We start from the raw sequence: 16,887 nt of genomic DNA, 5'->3' as shown, positions 1-16,887 counted from the left end.
AGAGTGATATGAAGAGCGAGAGAAAAGAGAGGACAGCGGACGAGCAGATCCGGTAGGGGCTGAAAAAGGCCAAGGGGCTGGAGGGAGGGAGAGGAAGGAGGAGGGGAGCGAGGAGGGCGGGGCGCCCGGTCCCCAGTCGCGCGGCCACCGCCTGCCCAGCCTGGCTGGATTTGAGCCCGGCCCGCCGATCGCTGGCCGAGGCGCAGCTGAAGCAGCCCCCCAGCCGCGGCGCCCCCACTTTCCAACTCCACGGTTCCTGCGGCGCGGGCGCGATGCAGCTGGCCCGGGGTGAAGGCAAGGCGCGGGGCGCGGGGCGCGGGGCACTGGGAGCGAGGCACTGGCGCGGGATGCCCGGCGCAAGGTGCAGGGCGCGGGCCGCTCTCTTTCCGCGTCCCCCCACCTCGCCAAAGTTTTTCCACGATGGTCCCTACCCCGGCTGGGTCAGCCCCGTAATCCTCGCCTGTCTCTTGTCTCCTCTTTCCTCCCCGAGCCGCGGGGCTCCCGGGGCGCGCGGACCCCCGCCAGGGGCCGTGTAGGCGCGGAGCCCCAGCCGGCCTGCCTTGGGTCCGAAGAAAGTTGTGGCTTGGAGCTAGTCCTCCTTCTACGACCCCTGGGGGCGTCCTTCCTTCTTTTTGAGCCCGCGATGGGAAGGCGCTCCCACCCCATCCCCGGGGTCTCTGAGACTTCCTGGCGAGGTGGGGCGGCGCGGCAGGTGCAGGGCTGGGGAGGGCCTGACAGCCCTGGAGAGTGCCCGACCCCAGTCCGCCGCCGTCTTCTAGGCGGATTCCCCAGAGGCAGGTCCCAGTCCCCGGCGCGGGGAGGCGGCGCGCTTCAGAGGGGCGCAGGGTGCGCGGGGGCCGTTGGCCCTCCGGGCACTTCCCCTTTGCGGTCTCCCCGCCCTCCTTCGGAGCTGGTGCCTGAGGTCGCTGGGACCTCAGCCTGGCGTCTTCTCTCGCCCCGAGCGAGGCAGGTGCCGTGGGCGGCCCCGGCTACTTCTGCATTTCGAGCGCTTACTTTGCATTCAGCTCTAAGTCGGAGAGCTCTGGGGACAGCCGAGAGTGCCAGTGGCCTCATAGGGAGACTGAGGGTTCTGTTTCACCTCGGGCGCCGTGTGGGTCTGGGCTGTCCACAGCACCTCTGCGCCTCAGTGATAGGAGAAGCCAAGCGCGAGGCCTCTCAACAGCTGCGTGCACTCTATTTCCCAGGTATCTGGAATCCCGGCGCCTAGAACGTGTTTTTCGGGAGAGCAAAGGCTGTGTCTACGGCAGCCTGGGGATATAGTAAGTACCTTGTAAATGATGAATGAATGTATGAACCAATCAGCTGACAAACAACAATTTGTCCTGGAGGGGGACCCAGTTCCTGCCACAGTTGATCTTAGTACAATGGGAGGAAAGAATTAGAAACAATGATTCTTTTAAACAGCCGGGAAGACAGAGCCAGGGGCCTTCTTTCAGGAACATCTGGATGAGGAATCTGCAGCTAGGCTTATTTTACTAATAAATCCACATTTACTTACCAGGCACTTTTTCTGCAGGTGGTCTGAAGGATTAAAGAAGCCTCGCATGGCGAAGATATATCGGGTTGTTTGAGGAGAGTTAATTTTCAAAAAAACCAAAACACTTGTGTTCAAATATAGTGTCCCAGGGACACAGTGTGACATCTACCTGGGTGGTGGCCATTTGGGATCAGAGACCCTTGCGTGGGGGCTTTGAGGGTGGGCAGTAGCTGTGTTTTCTCCTCTGGACAGGTCAGCCTGATGCCTAGGCTGTGGCAGTCCAGCAGGCCTCACAGGGGTGGAAGAGGGCCTCAAATGATGGCTGAGCTTGGAGAGGGCAGTAGTTTTGGAAAGAGCGGGTGTTCTTGCCCTGGGAGAAGATGGAGGCATAGCGTGCAGCCTGCCTGGGCACGTGGAGTGTGGACTGGTACAGCTTGGGTTCCCTGTGCTGGGGAGGCTGGAAGGTGAGTTCCGCTCCTCCTTCAGCAGATGGAGGAGCAGAGGTGGAATATCAGGGAGACATATGGTAAGTGTTGGGGTGCAGCCTAGACATATCCCAAGTGCTCCACTCCCCTCATTTTTATTCTGTTGAAATTGGGTTGGAATGGTGATGGCCCCTTTGAGGAGCCTGGCTGAGAGGAGACCAGGGATCTGAGGTCCCTTTTCGTGCCTTCCTCCAGGGGAAGGGGACTGTGTGCCCTCCATATCTGGCCAACTGGGGCTGCGCCCACATCTGCTGTATCTGCAGCCACATCATCCCCACTTCCCTGAGCGTGGCCTCACTCTGTCCCTAGTGCTCTGCGGCCCACCTCTCTCCATCTCCACATGGCTTCTGTTTGGAGGTTCAGGTCTTCTCGCCAGTTTGTGCCATCTTAGGAGCCCAGTTGGTGTGGCGGACAACCCTACACCTTGTTTTCAATCCTTTGGATGCTCTGACCCACCTGAGACATCCCAGTTGCTATTGGTTTTGCTTTGACTTCTTGGTCTATTTCCTGGTGCCCCGGAGCCAGGCTTCGTGTCTGCGTTCCATACGTGAGCTGCTTAGGAATGGCTGAGCGAGTCAGCTGGAGAAGTGCCCAGGGTGTGCATCTGCTGCCTCAGAGGGCTGGACGACGCTGCTTGCCAGAGAGGAGACCTGTCATCAAAGCACAAAAGAACATGGGCCTGATTATTACTTTCAGTCCTCTTTAGGATATTTTGGCAGGAAGTGTCCTTACTGAGTGGGAGGTGGGGGCAGAAAGGCAGGGTCAGGTTGCCAGAGAGTCTCACGGAGAGGCTGGGAGATGGACTGAGTGACCCCAAGAGTAGTCCCAGGACTCATCTCCTCCTCTCTTCCAGAGCGAGAAACAGGGCAGGTCTCAGCAGTGTGCTTGGAATGGAACAAGATGTTTAGCCTCTATCTTCAATCTGTAGTAGCTGAGAACTGCCACAGCTGGGTTTATAAAGCAAGGGGTAGAAATTCCCTCCTGCTACCTCCCTAATACTCTTCACAACATCGTCCAGTTGTTTACTGTAATGACACACTGTCCTATTTAAACACTTCCCTGTCTCCAAGAAGAAGTTTTATTTTTTATTTATATTTATTATTATTATTATTTTTTGACATAGGGTCTCTCTCTGTCGCCCAGGCTGGAGTGCAGTGGTGCAATCATGGCTCATGCAGCCTCAACCTCCTGGGCCCAAGCGATCCTCCCACCTCAGCCTCTTGAGGAGCTGAGACCCCAGGCATATGCCACCACACCCAGCTAAATTTTTATTTTTATTTTTTTATAGAGATGAAGTCTCGCTATGTTATCCAGGCTGGTCTCAAACACCTGGCCTCAAGCCATCCTCCTGCCTCAGCCTCCCAAAGTGCTAGGATTATAGGTATGAGCCACTGTGCCTGGCCCAGAAGAATGTATAAATGTCCTCAAGGTGGAGTGAGCTCCCACAGGTCTCACGGCTGGTTTCATTTATTTGGCCTGCTTGTTGGTTACTGTGGACCACATGGCCGTGTGAGGCGGGGGTTGGTGAATGGGGCAGGAGGCACCAGGGAAGGAGGGTGGCACATCCTCTGACTTGGGCTATGCAGCCAGTGGGTCATTTTTTATCACTTCTGGGATGGCAGACTCTAAAGTCTGTCATCACAGGTTGATGCTGCTGTTTGCGGTGACAGCTTGGGGCTGGGGAACTGCTGCTGCTCAAGGCAGCTGTGGCAGAACCAGAGAGGGACCCTCTCATCCATTCCTGTGGAACGGGCAAAATGACTTCCAAGGCCCTTTCCTGTTCCTTCAATTGGTGAAAATTGGCAGAGAAATACCTGTGCTTTCTTTGAACATGTCGACCCAAAGTGATTTGGCAAAGTAGATTTCCTTCATCAGCACGGTGCTTTAACCGTAGTTGGCATTCAGTGAAGTGTGATTAACTGCTCATTTTTATAAATGTCATGAAAGAGTATTGGATTTGGAGTTTGAATTGCATCTTACCATTTCCTAGCTGTGGGATACTGAATAATGTAATAGATGCTGTCAGTCTCCTGCCCATGTTCCACTGGTCTCAACCAATGACTGATGGGAGAAGGTGTGCAAATACTCCAGCTTCCTCGCCTCTCTTTTGAGATAAGTTTGGGGCATGTTCTGTGCTGTCTCTAAGAATTCCCTTGCAGGACCGAATCTCAATTGCTCATAGTGTTAGCTTGCTCACTTCCTCATCTCAAGTACATTTCAAGTACAAAGGGAGTGTACTTTGTACTTTGTACACTCCCTTTGTACTTGAACTTGAATTCTTGTTTCACGATCTACTTTTGGGTGAAACCAACCTAAGACAGGCTTTAACTTATAGTTAAAAGTCATTAAAAGTCTCAGTTTCAGGCTGGGCGCAGTGGCTCATGCCTGTAATCCCAGCACTTTGGGAGGCCGAGGTGGGTGGATCACCTGAGGTCAGGAGTTCAAGACCAGCCTGACCAACATGGTGAAACCCCGTCTCTACTGAAAATACGAAAATTATCCGGGCATGGTGGCGGGCGCCTGTAATCCCACCTACTCAGGAGCCTGAGGCAGGAGAATCGCTTGAACCTGGAAGGCGGAGGTTGCAGTGAGCTGAGATCTCGCCATTGTGCTCCAGCCTTGGCAACAAGAACAAAACTTCCTCTCAAAAAAAAGAAAGAAAAAAGAAAAGAAAAGACTCAGTTTCCACAACTGTAAGATGGGAATTATAATAAGTATCTCACAGCAATATTGTGAGGGTCAAATGGGCTATCATGTGCTTAGCCTGGCACATAGCAAGCATGTAGAAAACCATTTGCTGGCTAGAAGCAGGCTATGATGGATTTCAGAGTGTGTATTATGGTGGAACATAGAGAGTTACAGTGCTTTGGAGAGAGGCTGCTCTTAGGTTAGGTGAGGAAACTGAGGTCACCTGCACATGGTTTGTATTCCTAGGTTGTGACCAGCGACGTGCTGGTGAATATTTAACACCCGGCTCTTGGTAGGGGCTTTGGGGGAAGCCCTGCTTTGTGGTGTTTTCCAGTTTATATGATATAAATAAATATTCCCACTATGGCTGACTTCACTCTACCAACCTGGTATCAGTGAACACTCAGTTGGGAAGAGTTGTGCGCCATTGGCACTTGGGAGCCAGTAGGATCTGGCCCCAGCACACATCGGGCCATGACTAAGTCAGCATGTGACCCCAGTGATTTTAATTTCCAATTCTGTACATGCGGAGGGGAGGATAAGATTTGTATTAGGCATCCAAGTCATGGGATATGTTCAAGCGCTGCCCCAAACCGGTTGAACCTCACCTGCATGCGAGACACTTCTGGGGTGCATTTAGTGATTATGATTATTATTGTGTTTTTTTTTTTGAGTTGGAGTCTCACTCTGTTGCCTAGGCTGGAATGCAGTGGCACGATCTTGGCTCACTACAACCTCTACCTCCCAAGTTCAAGCGATTCTCCTGCCTCAGCCTCCCAAGTAGCTGGGACTACAGGTGCATGCCACCATGCCCAGCTAATTTTTGTATTTTTAGTAGATATGGGGTTTCACCATGTTGGCCAGGCTGGTCTTGAACTCCTGACCTCAAGTGATCCACCTGTCTCAGCCTCCCAAAATGCTGGGATTACAGGCATGAGCCACTGCGTCTGGCTAATGATTATTGAAATGTTTATGCTGTGAGACTCTGGTTCTCAGTTTCCCCATCTCCAAGGCAAGGGATTAAATGATTCCATATGTCCCTTCTAACCCTTGATCTCTTTCAGAAGAGTCATTGCCTTGTCCTTCTGTCTATACAAGAACAAAACCTTTAATGACAAAAAACCTTTCCTGTGGACTACATGTGTGCCACCCACCATGAGACACCCAGCACTGGCCCCTCCTAGAGTCCTTCCTCCTGGGAATTCAGTGGACATTAACCCAGTATAATCCTGCCTGTCTTGTATATCAGTGTCACCTCAGGACTCCGGCATGGTGTGTCTCCAGAGGAGGCCTGGAGAGGTGGGGAGGGAGGGACTGGTTTTTTTTGGAACGGATGGTCCCTTCCTTTCTGAATCACTATGCAAAGTTATAGACACCCAAGTAGAGTCTGCTCATGGTTTGCATTCCTAGGTTGTGACCAGTGACGTCCTGGTAAATGTTTAACACCTGGCTGTTTTTGGAAGGAGGTTTGGAGAAAAGTCTGTGTGGAGAAAGAGAACTTTCTATGACAGAATTCATCATCTTGGTGTAATTTTACTCTTAATGCTCTGTTGACAACCCTCCCAAACAAGTCCCTGACTCAGCAGTTCCACCCCTAGGAATTCTGCCCCTAGGGATGTAATTGGATAAATGCAGAAAAGTATGTGTATGGGGATGTCCCTCGCAGCATTATTTATAATAATGATAACACTCCATAGTGACAAATGGAGACCAACAGTCATACATTAGTTAACCATGGCATGTCTATACTTTGGAATACCAAGTGGCTACAAAAACATAGGCTGCAGGTGTGTAGCTATTAACGTGGAAGAATATGATATATATGTATTTTTGAGATGTAGTTTCACTCTTGTTGCCCAGGCTGGAGTGCAATGCCATGATCTCAACTCACTGCAATCTCCGCCTCCCGGGTGCAAGCAATTCTCCTGCCTCAGCCTCCCGAGTAGCTGGGATTACAGGCATGCACCACCACGCCAGGCTAATTTTTTGTATTTTTAGTAGAGACAGGGTTTCACCATGTTGGCCAGGCTGCTTTTGAACTCCTGACCTCAGGTGATCCACCCGCCTCGGCCTCCCAAAGTGCTGGGATTACAGGTGTGAGCCACCAGAATATGATATATTTTTAAGAAGCAGCTTACCAAACTATGTGCTATTTTTACAAACTGTATCACCCATCTATATTAGCATCTGGAAGGATGTATGGTAAAATGTCAATAGTGATTATCTCTGGGTGGTGGAGGTTTGCGAGATTTCGATCTTCATCTTTTTTCATATGTAATAATTTATTTTTATGTTTTATTGTGGCAAAGTACGCATACCATAAAATTTACCCTTTTAACCGTTTCTAAGTGTACAAATTAGTGGCATTAACTCCATTCACAACGTTGTACAACCCATCACCATTATCCATGTCCAGAACTTTTTCGTCGTTCCAAACAGAAGCTCTGTACCCATTAAACAATAACCCCCTCACTCCTTTCTCCTTCCAGCTCCTGGTAGCTTCTAGTCTACTTACCGTCTTTATGAATTTGCCTGTTCTAGCTACCTCATATCAATGGAATCAAACAATATTTGTCCTTTTGTGGATACTAATCTTTTCATTTATCTATATATATTTTTCGTTTTTGTTTTTGAGACAGGGTCTCACTCTGTTGCCCTGGCTAGAGTACAGAGGTGTGGTCATGGCTGACTGCAGCTTCCGTCTCCTGGGCTCAAGTCATCCTCCCACCTCACCTCAGCCTCCCAAGTAGCTGGGACTACAGGTGCACGCCACCACACTCAGCTAATTTTTTATTTTTTATAGAGACAAGGTTTTGCCATGTTGCCCAAGCTGGTCTTGAACTCCTGCATGCAAGCCATCCTCCCGTCTCGGCCTCCCAAATTGCTGGGATTACAGGTGTGAACCATGGAACCTGACCTATATTTAAAAAATAAAACAAAAAATGTTTATTTTACTTCTGCAATTGAAAGGAAAGCCCCGGGAGACAGCTGTGGTATTTGGCCCCTGGAGGTTCCATCTCAGGCTGGGTCATGTGGTCCTGACTATCCTTCCTGGCCTGGGCAGTATCAGGGTGCTGCCTCCATCTCAGCCTCACAGGACAAAAGTGGCCAGGGTGCAGACGTGCAGCACCACTGGCTTGGGAGCTGACCACAGCATGGCTTGCTGGCTGCTGGCAGCTGGCCCTTGGGGCCCAGACCCACTGCTGCTTAATCTCAGGGTTTTCTGTGTGGTGATGAGTTTGGAAATGTGGGCTCACGATTCGCCATGACTTTGAGGGAGCAGGTGCCGTGCAGAGAGAGAGATTCAAACCAGGTAGAAGTGGAGTTGTGTGGACACTAGCTTCCCTGAAGCTCGAGAAGGAGGATCTCTGCCTTTCTATTTCAAGCATCCTTTGTGTGTGCCCAACGCTTGCCCTGCTAAATACCCATCCCAGTGGCTGTAGGGCTGGTTGTTGAATGTTTTGTCCATAGTGTGGCATGGGGTGCAGGGGGGACTTTAACTGGTGGAGTCCATGAGGCCTCAGGTACTCTGGGGAGATGGGTGGTGGTAGCCTCAGATAATCAGTGCCCCTTCCTAAAGTGCCGTGTAGGGTCTTACAGCTCATCACACAGACATTTAGGGCAAGGATGGCTCTTTTGTGTACAGTCGGGGCCATGGTGCCACGTAGTTGGGGGGCTGCTGAGGCAGAGTTTGCCCGCAGGTCAGCTCAGGAAGCTGCGGGACCCAGAACAGGGAAACCAGGTCACGTGACTCTATTCAGGGGTCACGGGAGTGGGTCAGGTGGCTTTTCTCTGGGACATTTGCTCTGAGGCAAATGCTGTGAGTTCCTTGTTAGGTGAGTTCCCCGAAGCGCCCACGGCTCCTCCAGTGAGTTGGTAAAAGCGTGAGTCTGGGAGGGCGCTCAGGGTCTCTTCACCTGGCCCTGCCCAGTGGGTGGCTACCTTATTAATCTTAGGTAGTCGTCCGGGTGTACAGAGGTTTGATAGAGCCGCCTCTGCGGGCCACGTGGAGGAGCAGTTCTGCTTTTCATGGGGCTGACTTTCCTTTAGGGTTGGTCAGCTGTGCCCAGGGCAGACAGAGGAGGTTGTGAATGTGCTACTGTGGCAAACTTCCCCTGGAAACGGTCTGGAAACCCCCCGATGTGCCATTTCTCCTGGCACTAGGAGGGGTCTGAGATCTGCAGTGAGCGGGGAATTTCCCCGCACACGTTGTTGGATGCGTTAACTCAAGGTTAAAGGAGGGTGGAGGGTGGATGTCAGATATGCCGCAATGACTGCCGCCCCGACCACCCTGGAGGGCTCTGGACACACCCGGCACTTCCTTTGCTCTTCCCACTCACTGCTTTTCAAGTCCAAGGAACCTGCCGGGGTCTGGGGGTGGAGGAGGCCAGCGATCCTAGCTTTTGGGTTTTCAGTCCTGTCCCCAGGTGGCGAGTAGAGGAAACCTCAAGATCTCCGCACACAGAGCTCAGAGTCTCAGCCTATAGCACCAAAAAAGGAAGAATGCTGGGGTTCCCTTGAGGAAGGGGATGTGAAGTCAGAGATGAGTCTGAGTGGCCTGTGACTTGGAAACCACTCAGTAAACAGGAAGTGTCGATACCAAAGAAATCTGAGCTTGTAGGAAACAGGGGACCCGGAGGCAGCCCCTCCTTACCTGCCTGGATCTGTCTGTCTCTGTCTCTGCAGAGCTGGGAGACGAACCCTCAGATGGGCCATCGGGAGCACTTGGGGACACAGGCCTCAGGCCCTCCCTGCAGGGTGGCCTCCCTTAAATCCTGTAGTTATTGGACAGGAGGAAAGCTTACCTTGCTCTTCCCCAGGTAGGACATTAAAACTACCCTATAAACTGGCTCAGCTTTGAGAAATGCAGGTCAGGGAGTGTCTTGTCTTATTTGCTTTATTGGGGCCAGTGTTGTCTCCACCAACTTTCCACTCTCCCCTTGGGTCCTACAGTCACATGGAATGTCTCACTTGGTTGAACTGGAGCCCACGAGGGACTATGTCTTGGCTGGTTAGCATTCTAGGTCTTTAGTTTCTCTGAGCCAGAGTCTAATTCTACACATACCAAGCACACACACCATACATGTGGATACACACACATACACAGCCATACACACCACCCCCAACCATACCCTCCACACACACACACACACACGCCACACACTGGACTCTCACTCACACACCGGGAGCTATGCTCACACCCACGCACACACAGCTGCTTTTTTCTGGAGTCTGTGCTTCCTTTATGCTTCCTTTTTCGTCCCGCTCCAGCGCCCTGCCTCTCTGATTAGTGGCTAAGCGCTCTGAATTTCCTTCTGCAACATCCATCCTAAAGGTCAGGCACTTGTGGATGCCAGTGGGGCTTCCCTGTAAACATGTGGCTGCTCCTCCGGTCTGCGAGGCCATTGTCTGGGTGGGCCCAGCGGTGGCCTTCTGGGTCACTCACCTGGCCACCCTCCCACTGGGGTGGAGCTGGAGGCAGGCCTTTCCGGCAGGAGTCCCAGGACCGCTTCCTCCCATCTTCCACAGTCGCGTCTGGGAACCCAGGCCTGTGCAGACAGCTTGGGCAGGGAGGGCTGGGCCGGGCTGGGCCACAGTTGGTGGCAGAAGAGTGGCGGCTTCGTAGGCTGACATGCTTGAAGAAACCCCAGCATGGCCCTTGCTGTGTTTCAGTTCCTCCTGTGTCGGTGGGCCAGGCAGGGGCAGCTCCGGGGATGGGAGTGCGGTAGCTTGCCAGGAAGGGGCTGTGCCTGTCAGTTACCAAGCATCGGGGTTTTTCTGGGAATGGGGTGGGGATGGTCTGCGGGGCCTGTGAATGGGAGGGGTAGTTCATTGTCCCCTCAGTGTCCCACCCAGTGTGTGATAAGGGACTGAGAGTCAGTGGCTCTGTGACTGCAAGTGCCCACGTCCTGGACCTGCGGCTCTGGGCCTCTCTCCCTGGCCCCTGCAGGGTCTGCTTTTCCCACAGCTTGTCCTCTGGGCTGGTCACTCACTCGCCTCCCATCCCCCAGACCTCCCAGCCTGCTGTGGGCTGGTAGCTGGAGCCAGCCTGCACCTGCTACTCGCATAGTGGCCCTCTCAGATCCAGCGCTCAGCCAGAGAGCCACAGGAGCACTGGGCTGCATGTCGGCTGTGCCACCTGGGACAAGCCACCTAACCTCTGAGACCTTCTGTTTCCTCATTTGTAAAGTGAAGTCTTCCCCCTGAGGTTCTTGGAGGGACTAAGATAAAGCATCTAGAGCCTGCTACCACCAGCAGCATCAGCAGCAGCCCTGGGCGCTTATTAGAACTGCACCTTCTCAGACCCCACCCCAGAATTACTGAATCAGAAACTGGGGCAAAGGGACCTGCAATCTGTATTTTAACGAGCCCTCGGAGAGATTCCAATACACACTCAAGTGGGAGAACCTCTCCTCCAGAATACAGTTGGGTTGGCTGATTTTTGGCTGAAAGCACTTTCTTCCTTATCACCTCAAGAGAAGCTGTAGTCTACAGGGGTTCCGCTTGGCACCTGCACCGCCCTGGATTTGAGCCTCAGCTCCGCCCCTTCTAGCTGTGTGTCTTTGGGCAAGTGGCATAGCTTCTTTGTGCCTCAACTGTTCAACTGCAAAATGAGGATAATAAAGTTTCTTTCGTAATGAGGTTGGTGTAGGGGTTAAAGGAGTCCAGGCAGTGATGGGGCTTCTGTTCCATAAAGCAGGAAGGCAGAAGGCAGAGTATGCCATTTCCTTCCGAGGCAGCCCACATTTTGCCCATGCCCAGGACAGGCTTGGGTTTGGGAAGCATGATCTGGCATCTCTTGCCATCTCTAGGTCTTGGCAGGGCCCCAGCCCGCAGCTCAAGTCTCCTTCCTCGTGTGGTGCAATGGGGCTGGGGTTTCCTGTTTGCCATCCACACCGCTTCCTGCCCCACTACAAGGGGTCCGAAGCGCAGAGGGATCACTATCTCCTCTGCCATTGCTTGGTTACAAAGCAGATTCCCTCAGGAGACCTGGCCAGTTGGTCTTTAACACTGTAGTGGAAAGCACTGTGTCCAGCAACTTTCTTCTCCAACCCAGGAGATCCAGGTTGTCCTCAGAGGGAGGGGCAGGGCTCAGAGAAGAGGTGTGCACAGGCCCCAAAAGAGGAAGCTACAGGCCTCCAGTGAGCGTTTCCTTTGCATCAGACTTGGGGCCTGGGGCTGGGGTTCTGGCTTCTGTGACATGGTGCCCTGGCTTGCAAGAAGGAGCCCTTTGCGTCAGCTCAGTGCCTGCACACATAGACCCTGCGGGACACTCTACACTGTCCCCTTTCTCCTTGGAAATATTAGTAGTAGGGAGAGGGTGCTAAATACCCAACTCAGTTTGCTTTTAGAAAATTCCACCCCTTCCTTTCTTGAAGGGCTGCTTTGAAATACCTATGGTGGTGTCCTCAATCTACACAGCTCTTTCCCTACCAGGTTCCACAGTGGCGCTCAGCCCTGGATGTACACTGGCATGACCTGGGGAGGCTTTGAAAGTGCTTCTGCCTGGGCCCCTCCCCTAGAGTCTGATGTAATTGATCTGGGCTGCAATCTGGATGTCAGGATTTGATTTGATTTGATTTTTTAAAGAAGGGGATTCACTCCATCTCCCAGACTGGAGTGCAGTGGTACCATCATAGCGCACTGCAACCTCGAACTTCTGTGCTCAAGCGATCCTCCTATCTCAGCCTCCTGAGTAGCTAAGACTACAGGCATTAACTGTGCCTGGCTAATTTTTTATTTTTTTATTTTTTGTAGAGATGGGGTCTCACAATGTTGCCCAGGTTGATCTTGAACTCCTGGCCCCAAGCTGTCCTTGTGCTGTGCTGCAATTACAGGCATGAGCCACCATGCCTCGCTGACATCAGGATGTTTAAAGCAACCCCTCTCTCTACCCACTCCCTGCCGCTGCTCTGGGAGTCTCATGAGCACCTGGAGTCAGAATCGCTGTGACGTCGGGTGTCTCTAAGCCACCTCTTCCCACTGCCCCCCATCCTTGGTTTCAGTCCAGGCTTTGGCAAGTGCTCAGCCCTCCCACTGGTCAGGTGGTGGCTCTGTGGGGTCTGCCACCCTGGGAATTCTCCATGGAAAGCCCTCTCCTCCCCAAGCCTGTCTCAGAGACTGGGGCTGCCTGGAGCCTATAGAACAACTGTTGCTCTCCCTCCCTCACCCCCACTGGGAGCTGAGGTGGGGGTGGTTGGGGCCTGGCCCCTGCTCTACAACCAGAAAGACAATTCAGGAAACAAAAAACAAAAGTGACCACCAAAGGCAGCTCTTCCCCTCTCTCACCCTGGACTTTCCTGCCAGGGCTGCCCCTCCCTTGGAGGACTTCCCAATTCATAAATAAGACGAGAGGTGCTGGGTCTCCAGGCTGGAACTGAAACCACGTAGGGCGAGCCAGGGTCCTGGGGATGCTCTGAGACCAAGGAAAGGTGGCACGTTCTCCAGGCTCCCTGATCATGGAGCGTTTGGAGGAAGCAAGACCTAAGAGCAGAGGGGATTCTGCTGTTTTTGGTGGGAGCTCCAGACGCCTTTCCCTCCTCCTAGAGCGTCTTGAGAACTTGGTGTGTGCTCTCCTCTCAGGAAGCTGAGGCTGTGATTTTTGGGCTTGGCCAGCCCTGCATTTGTTCTTGGAGAGGCCTCCTGTGGGAGGCTGGAAACACCTGCAAGTGGCATCTGTGGGAAGGAAGGGAAAGGATCCTTCATGCAACTGCTGCAGGGCTTCAGCTGGTCCAGAGCTTGGGTGACGCTGACCCCGTTCCGGCAGCCTAGGCTCCAGCGCCAGGCTGGTCCTGAGTGGGCAGCTGTTTCCTCCCAACTTGAGAGTGGGTGGGGGACAGTGACAGACCCAGTAGTTGCTTCAATCTCAGATATGGAGCAGGTGTAATGGATGCTGCTGTACCACCCAGGTCCCCTTAATCTATTGCATGCTGTGAGTGTTGACAGTGCTGGGTCTTAGCGGCACACGTTTCCTGAGAATTGCTCTTGCAGGGAAATGCCTACGGGCTGTCCCTCTGCCAATGATTGACATGCAGCGGTCCAGAAGCGCCACCTGCCCACCTCCACGTAGGACAACTCTGGGGGCCCTTCACACCACAGAGCTCCCCAGGGGATCAGCTGTGGCTGGGCTCCAGCTGAACGCACCTCATTCCTAGCTCCTCCCACTGCCCCCGTCCTGCCTCCCCCACTCCCTTACAGGTTTCTCCTGAAAACACCTGCACAATAAATCACATGCTTTCTTTCAGGCTCTGCTTCTAGGAATCCCCTGGCCTAAGGTAGCAGGTTAGTGTCCCTGGACAGACTGCTGATCCCATCCCCTTCCTGGAAGCAGTAATCATGATAACCCGGGTGCAGGAGAGGCACAGGCTGGGAGCTGGGGGCTGGGGGCCAGAGAGGAAGCTCCAGGCCCAGGAGGGGAGAGAAACACCAGCAGGGGACTTCTGTGTGGGGTACGTGCTGTGCTGAAGGGCAGGCCGAAGTGGGAGTGCCTGTCCCTGCATTGTCCAGGGGTCATTTATAGGGGGAGGTAAGTTTTGATGAGGGTCGAGGCTAGAACATGTGAATCTGGGTCTGAGGGGGAGCATGGGCACACTCACAGAGCATAAAAAGTAGGCTCCGAAAGTTCTCTGTGGCTGGGATGTCATCATATTAAATGGCCAGAGGACCTTCCCTTTGAAAAGACGTCCTCCTGGGTCTTAGGGAAGGTCTTACCCCCAAGCTGTCTTTCAGGCAGTCAGGAAGTCATGAATGGGTCTCCAAGTAACCAGCTGAATTCCACTGACAAGCAGAATGCATTGCCCAGGCATTTAATGGAGCTGAGGAGAATTTGGAACATTCTGCCAAAGCATGAAGCCAGTGTCAGAGGGAAAACTTGACTGGTTGGTGGCCCCAACAGGGTTCCAGCATGACAGGAACCTGGGAGACTCATGTCTCAACTAGGCAAGCCCAGCTGTATTCACATCTCCAGCTATTTTGGCAGACATGCTTTGTGGTTAGTAGACATTCAATATATGCTTTATTTTCTAAAGTGTTTTTTCTAAAAAGAAGTACTGATTTAGAATTCTAGAGGGAGTAAGTAACTATGTTCATAGAGGAAGTTCAGTAGATTTAAATATGTTTTAGACTTCCAAAGAGCAGCTCCATATTAAAAATGATTTTTGAGAGATAGCTCACACCTGTAATCACAGCATTGTGGAAGCCAAAACAGGAGGATTGCTTGAGGCCAGGAGTTTGAAACCAGCCTGGGCAACATAGTGAGACTCCATCTTTACAAAAAATAAAAAATTAGCCAGGTATGGTGGCGTGTACCTGTGGTCCCAGCTACTCAGAAGGCTGAGGTGAGAGAATCACTTGAGCCCAAGAGGTCAAGGCTGCAGTGACCTGTGATCGTGCCACTCCATTCCAGCCTGGGTGACAGAATGAGACCCTGTCTCAAAAAAAAAAAAAAAAAAGATTTGTGTAAAATTTGCCCTTTCTTTCTTGTCCCCTTTCTGCCCCTCTTCTCCTTTCTCTGTGTGGTAGACTATGAGGTGTTTTAGTTCTGTGCCTAGATGCTGGCTGATGTGGGAAGCCCCTCTTTCCTCCTTGCCTCAGTTTCCCTCCTACAAGACATAACAACCATTAGTCTGTATTCCCAAGGCCCCGTGGGAAGTCATGATCGTAAATGGTTCTTAAAGGCATTTTGGAGCCCAGGAGAGCACCATAAATTCTGGATAATAACAGGGGAGGCAGAAGCATTGCAACCAGCCAGCTGAACGAATGAATCCCTGTCTCCAAGGCCACAGATAATGGCAGGCACCCCTGGAGGAAGTGTCCAGTTGAATCCAATTGAATCCACATTCCTGTTCCACAAACCGTCTTCCTCTGACCTTCCTTGTGTGAGGAACAATGCTCTGTTTAAGGAATATCAGAGTTAACTGTGAATTTCCGGCCCTCTGTTAGTGCTGCTGCTGTTTGCCTTAAGGTGGATGTGAATGTAGCTTAGTATCTTTAGCTGGCTGCAGGGAGACAGTGCTTTGTGAAGGTGGTTGGAAAGTTTGTGAAGAAAGGTGCAGATGCCCAGAGTGGGGCAAAAGAGGGATTGGGTCCTAGAATCACCTACCTGTAATTTCAGTTCAACTTTGGGTTAGGCTATGCAAATATTTTCTTAACACTTTTTTCCCAAGAAATGTCAAAGTAAGAAAAAAGGTGGGGAGAAGTCAGGCCATAGACAAAGATGGGGCAACATGACCCCATAGGTCGGAGTTATAGCTATGGCCTTGGTGAGATCACCCAACAGGTAGAGAGTGGCTGAGCCCTAGAAAATTCCCACAGTCGGGGCCATCAGACTATCTGATGTGTATCAATCTGGTAAGTAAAAAGTAGGGTCATGAGGGAAGTTGAACACCTTTTCATGGATTTATTAATTACTTGTATTGAGTTTTCCATGAACTACTGTGCGTGTCCTTTGCCCATTTTATGAATGAGCATAGAACCTTTTTCTTACTGATTTATTAAAGCTCTTTATGTATTAAGGACATTAGCCCTTTACCATATGTTTTGTAAATATTTTTCCCCAGTTTTCAATTTGCCTTTTTGACTTTGTATAGTTTCCTTTTTTTTTTTTTTCTGAACAGAAGTTTAAAATTTTCACAGGTTGGTATCAATTTCTTCAGCATTTTATTTTTCAATGTTTAAATTTTTGGTTCAGTTATTTCTTTTGGTGGAAGGAGTAAGCTAGCGATTTCACTTCCCTGTCTTCCCCCTTCCAAACGCCAGCGAATTCTCTAGTGATATTTTAAAAAATTAAGCTACCTTTCCCCTGCTATTTAGAACTGCTGCTTACATTCCATGTTCCCAGATATATTTGGGTCTATTTCTGTATGTTTATTGTTTCATTGCTCTGGCTATTTTTTTCTGTAGAACCAGATAGTTTTAAGAATCAAATTCTCTAACTGGTATTCTCAGTAGATTTAAGAAGACATGGTATTAAAAAGAATTGTCTTAAGAGCAGGACAGATGCAGAACTAAATTACCAAATGATAGGTTATGTTGGAGGCAAAGAACGAAAGAGAGAGTCCTGGAGAAAATTCAATTGGTGAGTTAGAAGATTAGCTGGAGAATTCTGAGAAAAATAAGGAAATGGAGGGTAGCTGCCGGGGTGGATGGATGCATAGTGCTAGAGAGAGAAGAGATTGCAGAAGAACCAAGAATGGACCGGCTGCAGTGGCTCACTGT

The 16,887-nt window shown here is 51.3% G+C and overlaps 1 protein-coding gene and 1 long non-coding RNA gene across 16 annotated transcripts in view, besides 7 other annotated features; one reads left to right on the top strand and one right to left on the bottom strand.

The window, feature by feature from the left end:
• Positions 1 to 16,887, top strand: part of RASSF2 (Ras association domain family member 2) — a 43,586-nt gene continuing 26,699 nt past the window's right edge. For 6 of the 15 annotated variants that reach the window (NM_014737.3, XM_011529410.2, XM_017028151.2 and 3 more), the window contains exons 1-2: positions 1 to 52; positions 1,206 to 1,280. The gene's annotated coding sequence lies outside the window, so the exon portion shown is untranslated. Of the gene's footprint in view, positions 295 to 1,205; positions 1,281 to 8,461; positions 8,508 to 9,266; positions 9,492 to 16,887 lie in introns of those variants that run through there. The other 9 variants (XM_005260895.4, XM_011529411.2, XM_047440621.1 and 6 more) reach the window with 4 other exon arrangements.
• Positions 98 to 507: a silencer, noted in NCBI's record as "silent region_12649". NCBI's record gives its function as "represses an Ori minimal core promoter by ATAC-STARR-seq in GM12878 lymphoblastoid cells {active_cell/tissue: GM12878}" and the evidence as "EXISTENCE:reporter gene assay evidence [ECO:0000049][PMID:35858748]".
• Positions 728 to 857: a silencer, noted in NCBI's record as "silent region_12648". NCBI's record gives its function as "represses an Ori minimal core promoter by ATAC-STARR-seq in GM12878 lymphoblastoid cells {active_cell/tissue: GM12878}" and the evidence as "EXISTENCE:reporter gene assay evidence [ECO:0000049][PMID:35858748]".
• On the bottom strand, positions 7,449 to 11,705 carry LOC107985392 (uncharacterized). Its single transcript, XR_007067506.1, has 2 exons — positions 10,118 to 11,705; positions 7,449 to 7,588 (listed from the first exon to the last, which is right to left on the bottom strand). It is a non-coding gene; the product is annotated as an uncharacterized LOC107985392 (long non-coding RNA).
• Positions 8,718 to 9,127: an enhancer, noted in NCBI's record as "active region_17501". NCBI's record gives its function as "activates an Ori minimal core promoter by ATAC-STARR-seq in GM12878 lymphoblastoid cells {active_cell/tissue: GM12878}" and the evidence as "EXISTENCE:reporter gene assay evidence [ECO:0000049][PMID:35858748]".
• Positions 9,138 to 9,197: an enhancer, noted in NCBI's record as "active region_17500". NCBI's record gives its function as "activates an Ori minimal core promoter by ATAC-STARR-seq in GM12878 lymphoblastoid cells {active_cell/tissue: GM12878}" and the evidence as "EXISTENCE:reporter gene assay evidence [ECO:0000049][PMID:35858748]".
• Positions 10,608 to 10,787: an enhancer, noted in NCBI's record as "active region_17499". NCBI's record gives its function as "activates an Ori minimal core promoter by ATAC-STARR-seq in GM12878 lymphoblastoid cells {active_cell/tissue: GM12878}" and the evidence as "EXISTENCE:reporter gene assay evidence [ECO:0000049][PMID:35858748]".
• Positions 11,537 to 11,766: an enhancer, noted in NCBI's record as "active region_17498". NCBI's record gives its function as "activates an Ori minimal core promoter by ATAC-STARR-seq in GM12878 lymphoblastoid cells {active_cell/tissue: GM12878}" and the evidence as "EXISTENCE:reporter gene assay evidence [ECO:0000049][PMID:35858748]".
• Positions 13,509 to 13,568: a silencer, noted in NCBI's record as "silent region_12647". NCBI's record gives its function as "represses an Ori minimal core promoter by ATAC-STARR-seq in GM12878 lymphoblastoid cells {active_cell/tissue: GM12878}" and the evidence as "EXISTENCE:reporter gene assay evidence [ECO:0000049][PMID:35858748]".

Source organism: Homo sapiens, chromosome 20 (assembly GCF_000001405.40).
Source record: "Homo sapiens chromosome 20, GRCh38.p14 Primary Assembly".
Classification (NCBI taxonomy): Eukaryota; Metazoa; Chordata; class Mammalia; order Primates; family Hominidae; genus Homo; species Homo sapiens.
Note: the sequence above shows the minus strand (reverse complement) of the source record. Positions and strands in the feature narration are given on the sequence as shown.